This window comes from Homo sapiens, chromosome 3 (assembly GCF_000001405.40).
Source record: "Homo sapiens chromosome 3, GRCh38.p14 Primary Assembly".
Lineage (NCBI taxonomy): Eukaryota > Metazoa > Chordata > Mammalia > Primates > Hominidae > Homo > Homo sapiens.
In genome coordinates, this window is record NC_000003.12 from 115,489,747 (window position 1) to 115,496,307 (window position 6,561).

A 6,561-nucleotide genomic window follows, 5' to 3' on the forward strand; every position below is an offset into this window, starting at 1 on the left:
TAGACCTCAACTTTTGTAATGGTAGGGACTCTACCATACCTATTTAGTAAATACTCTTTATTTATGGTGATAATAAAAATGCAGAAAAGAACTTAGCAAATTTTAAAATAACAGTTACATAAAAATAACCAGAAGCCATTGTCTTCTCCTCTGTACCTTCTTTTAAAAATGTCTCATTATATTTTCATCTTTTAAATGTGTTTTTAATTACAAAACTCTAATCTTGTAGTAAATGATACCAAATACACACAAACATGTTATATAAATTAATGTATTGGACACTGCACCCATTATTTATGTTATGAGATGACCTGGATTTCATGCAAATCCTCAGAATAATAATTCTGTCATTACTCTGCATACATTTGAGCTTTGTGTAACATGTCATAGATTAAGAAAACTCTAATATTATATTAATAGTTTTAAAAAAATCTACACCTGCACATCTTTGCTGCTCTTGTCTACAGAGCTCATTCAAAGGCCAAGTCTCAGGCACATTACTTTGGTGCAGGCTCTACTTCTGGGTACAAACTAGTGAGTATGGGAAACATCACATACATACATCCTTTATATATTTAGAAATCATTATAGAAAAAAACCTTTACATATAGCATTATGTTAAAATGAATCTCTTTTAAACTCATTGTTTACACTGAGTCCCCAAAAGGTCAGGAGCAAAACAAAGTTACCAAATTCCAAATTCATAGCTCAAAGTGAAAGGATTAACCACACTTGAAGGGTTTGCAAAGGCGGCTTGAAAATACTGGTCTTATAATCCTTAGCTGACTGTATACTTTTAGCTTATAAAAGAAAATACAGAAAAGGGAAGTTGGGAGTTTGAGAAAGGTTTTCCCTGGAGAGTTGTTCAAGTCATGTCAATTCACCACCCCTACCCTGCTCAAGGTGGAAGATGGGGCTTTGTCCCCACATTACAGGTGCAAGAGACTTCAATGGGACCAACCAAAGAGCTTAAGTGATTTTCCTGTGGTTTGAAGAAAGAACAGTGAACTTGTGTTTGACACAAGCAAGAGGCCATGTCTGGAATTGCTTTCTCTCACAAGAGGCAAATAGAGGTAGCTGTGTCTGGGAGAGACTGCATGCTGTGCTCGGTGAGCCAAAGATATGCAACTATTTTCCATAGACTGGTGTGTACATCTAGGGAAAATTGCATAAGGTTCTCACCAATGCTGCCTGCAAAAATTGTTTGTAAAAGCTAGGAGATCTCAGCCAATAGGCCTAGGGTTCATGGCAAAAAAAGAGACCAGCTTGGGCAGATGCATTTGTACTGTCAAGGGAACTTCAGGTAGAAGATCCCCAGCACTTAAGCGGAGGGGCTGTCTGCACAATCCATAACACTTCTGATTTTAGGAGTCAGCACTGAACTTCTACAGCCAGTGAAACCAAAGGCTGATTACAAGGGTGACAATAAAGTAACGCTTTTTCTATACAATAACATCCCTGTGGGTACACACACACAAACACACACATACACACACACTTCTGCTCCCAGAGCCAGGAGCCACAGGTAATAACTTTTGAATTCATAAGGTAATATAAGATATAAGATATGATAAGAAATAAATGAGTTTAAAAAGAATATTTGTCTTAGAAACCTGTAACTTAATATAGGCAAATCATGTAAATTGGTTAGAAAACAATTGAAACAACTGTTGTCCTTTCACATTCATCAAATATCTAGGATGTTTGTGAAGATAGAAAACTTAATACGATATCTTAAATACTTAATGATGGGAATATAATAGCATTTTTTGTTATTTTTGTCAAATTTTTGTCAATTTTTGTCAATTTTTCTTCCCAAAATAAGAATTTGCAATGCCCAATTCTTCTTCCCAATTTTTCTTCCCAAAATTTTGTCAAAAATTTTTGTCAATTTTTCTTCCCAAAATAAGAATTTGCAATGCCCATTCATTTCCTCGATCATCATAAAAGCACCATGCAATAAGTTTTTAATGGAACTTCTATTTGCTGAGAAATTCTTGGTCTGTAGATGGAAGTGCAGCAAAACCATTTACATTAGGATCTCTTTTTATACCTTCAGCAGAAACTAAAAGAGAAGATGATGTAAACGCCCTTTGGAAAAGGTCAGATACCGCACATCATGTGCTTATTCTTGCTTGAGCTTTCCTTGTTGTGCCTACCTTTCAGTTGCATAAGAGCACTATCTCCTCCCCGGCAGTTAATGACTTTTGTTCCATAAAATGCAAGTGATTTTCACTGCCTCTGAGAGAGTAATTTTTTGATTCAACCATTACAGATTTGGACCATCCAATTCAATTATGTTTGATTGGGCCCTCCTCACTGATGGTCAGTTTCAGTCAGACTTACACCCTCAATATGCGCCGTGTATTTTAGCAAATGGTTTTTAAAGTTGTTACAATAGTAGGATTATTAAGAGTGAATGATCATTCAAATCATTTCAGAATAATCCTGTTGTTTGGTTGATATTAGTGTTATATTCCTACATAAAAGATCCTCTCATCTGCTCCCTTTTCAAATTTCTAATTGGGTTTAATTGAGAAATATCCTGATGAAGAAGCAACAATCATTAAGAAATATTTTATTGTTCACTGTTACTTCTTAGCCTGTGAGTCAGATTTTTCCTACTACCACATACCCAAAATAAAGTGTGGAAATAAACTATATTGTTGAGACTAAGATTTTATGGTTACTAATTTTAAATTTTGTCTTCATAAAATGTCTTGATCTTATTAATGGAATTTATATGTTAGTGTTGTGAATTTGATACTATGAAATCCTTTCACATTAATGACATACATTTATCAATTTTACTTGAAGGGATTGGTAAACATTTTATTTTGAAAAGCTTCCACTGCTCTCGAAAACTGAAAATTTCTGGTCTACATTGAAAGTTGAGTAAACATCTTGTTTATTATAATGCTCTGGGCTTGGAAGAAATTATTTATATTTTAGTAAAAAGAGTTAATTCTGGCACTTCTAATTTACAATGTATTAATGTGAACACATGGACTTAGGGTTTTATTAACAATATCTGTCATAGTATGTTTGCTAAACATTTTGATAAAGTAGACAATGTTACATAAGAGAAAGTATTTTCAAGGGCTTTGCTACTTAATGTCTGTTGACATATAAATAGAAAATGTTTATTAGAAATGAGTCTCATTTGTTCATTAAAGCTGTTTCACAAGTTTGATATTCAGACATAATAATGTGAACAAATCAAATTAAAGAATCACCAGAGTGATAAAATCAGAATTTCTGGGTTGTTAGTTAACTTATAGGTCAGCCAATCTAAGCACTCATTTAGTGGTTGAGCACCTATTACTGCAAGGTATGGAACTCTTTGCACAATACAAGAAAGTATAAGTGGCCTTTGCTCTCAATGAACTTAGATGGGGAAGTGAGGTATAAACATGTGAGATTTAACTAAAAAGCTTTAAATCATAGCGAAAAAGACACTAAAAATGATAGCCTAAGAGAGCACGATATTAACTGCCAAAACAATTAACCAATCTAATTCATCTTTTCAGAGGAAGCTATCCAATCTATCCCACAGACTGTTATATGGAAGGGAGTTCTATGTACATTCTTTAAAACCTGCAGCACATCCTTTTTGATAATCCAACTCAGGTCTCTCTTAATGTAGAGGTTTTGGCGACATTTCTATATAGGGCATTCCTTGAGATACAATATAGATTTTTATTATATTACATTAGAATTTACACATAGTTCAAAATAACATTAGACTCTCAGGTGTAAGATCTTCTTTGGTTCATGTGGAAAGAAGAGCCAGGAAAATGTAACTAATATAGGAGAAGAAATAGGAAAAAAAAGAGAGAGAAATTTCTACTGAAGCTTTCTAAAATTTTTGTGGATCACGGGTTAAGTCTAAGTGTTAAAGTATCATGTTGTAGTAAATAATTGGCAATGAGGCTATAGTGGTGGTGTTGGGGCCAGGTAGATAATGATTCTTCTAGTCAAAGGTTTTGAGCTCAGAATCTTCCATCCTCTTTGCTCTCTTTTTCTAACTAATAAATTAAGATGAAACAGTTTCTCTTTCTATCTTTCTGTTCTGCTTTTCCCATCATTCACTCTGCCAAAAAGAAATCTCCCTAGATTCTTGGTGTAAGTTTTTATTGCCACTACTTTCTGTACTGTGTTAAGTTCTTCTCCAAAGAATGTGACACTGAGACTCAAGGTCTTTCCCCTTTTTATATCTTTTCAAACATCACTACCTTGTGTTGTTTCCTGCAGTATTCTATTGTAATGGGCATGACGATTTCACTTTACTGCAAAGGAATATGAGGGTTGAAACTATAATTGGATTAAGTTACAGTTATGCATTATTCAATTACTGATTCTATCTTCTTAGCTTTGCAGGCTAAACCTGCAATCACAATTATGTCTTTCTCTCTATTTTGTTCATTAAATGACTCCATGGTGAATCCACTTTTACCCCACACTTCCAACATTTCAGCTCTCTACATTAAGAGATTTAAGAAATTATCCTTCAAAGCACACACACACACACACACACACACACACACACACACACACACACACACAACTATGTAGTCTTAGAGATGTAAAGAAAGACACTGCCTAGTACATCTTTTTAAATATAAAATTGGATGAGAAAATTTAAACTCAGAGAGAGAATGATTATAGAGAGTGGTAGTACTGAGATTAAGCCAAAGCCACCTGGCTCCAAATTCAGTGCTCATCCTTATCATTCCTTTCGTCATCAAAAGAATTTTCCTTTCCCTATAGTATTAAATTGTACAAACCCCAATAAGTATTATAGAAAAACTTCACCATTCTAGCCTGAAATAAGATTTTCCAGAGCCTGGCATCCACTCAAATAATCTGGTATTTGGGGATTTTTCAGAGTAATAGAAAATTAAAAACCACATATAAATAGCCATTCTTTAATCATTAAACAACAAATTTACTTGATCCTGTAGTAGGTTGTTCTGAGACTAGACCTCAAAACTTCTGAATCATTAATAACTAGAAGCAGGGATAAAAACATTTTTCTAAAATTTCATATACTTGTCTCCTCTGGTTCTGGGGTGGAGGCAGGAACTTTGCAAATACAAATATATTCTTGCTGCAGGTGTATTCATCATTGGGCCAGGCACACTTTCCCTCATTCCTTTCTCATAGTACATAACACAGTTGTTCAGAAAAACAAATCCTCCCTTCATTTGCTTCCTTATTATAGCTTCCCTTTCCCAGCAGCATTTGCTCTTGCACCTGCCCTGCCATTTCTTAAATGCCAGCGTGATTAATGAGTGCCAGAGGCAGCAGATGGGAAGGTACACTTTCCCTGTCTGCACTCTTACATTAGCCAGTAGGAGTTCTTGTTCCTTCCCATAACACTCCATTCAGTTGATCACCAAACCGTCAGATACAATGTGAGAGGCATTTGGTACTTGTTCAATACAAAGATCTGAATCAGCTATTACCCAAAGTTCAGCTGAAAACAGTGTTTGTGAATTTACTTACCAATCTCACACCTCAGTCATGAAAGTACATTTGAGTCCCACCCATGATGCAATGCACCCATAGCTCACCTCCTAAGTTTTGCCCCAGACTTGGCCATTGGAATTTTATTAGAGATGATAATAAAATTTTGTAGTAGATCTACCCTAATCCTGACCTTAAAATTAGCTTCATCATACTATAGACCATATTAACTTCCTACTGGATTCGTAAAGGAATCCATCCTTCCAATGGTGTGAAGGAGCTCTGAATTATGGTAGTCATGCCTTCCCTGATGCGGTTCCCAATTATTTGGGGACCTATTTTCAAGTCAGAGAATCAGTGGGGTCTTTAGATTTTTTTCCCTTTCTACAGTAGCTTTCCTTTTGGTCTTTTTGCTGCTCATTAGAACCCCCCAGTATGTGGTCAGGGAAAAAGATGTAAAAATCAATTCTGTCTATTTTGCTGGTAGTGGATAAGAAAATAAGCTATTGTGACAATGGAGAGGGTGTGGAAGCTACTGGCTATAATGAGGCTTATGGATGATCCACACATTGATTATCTGGCTCATCTTACAGCTGTGAAAACTGGGTGTAGTTTCTATGTAGAAACAAATTTTCATTTTTCTAGCCCATCTTGACTGGTTTTTTAAGTCATAAAAGCAGTGGTAATTAAAATCCAAGAATCATATATAGGCATGAAATAAGAATAAACTCTCTTTCCCTCTTCCATAGTGTTACTTCAAAGACATTTGTGGACACCTTTGTTTTTAGATTTCTGTTGGTAAGCTACATTACTCCAAATAATATATCTCTGCTATTTTATTTAGCAATTCTAAACAGTTATATCTTAACTATCAACTACAAAAGATGAAGAATTTAGTCCCTTGATACTATCCTGTTCCCTTCTCTCTTCGTGCACGATTTAATTTTTTTAGCTTTTCTATTGGTTACCTTTATAACTTTAAACAGTAGATTTAAAGCCATATCAGTTCTATCTACCTATCTATCATATCTGTCTATCATCTATCTATTACTTATCAAATTATCTACCCATCTTTCTATCTAATACCTACCT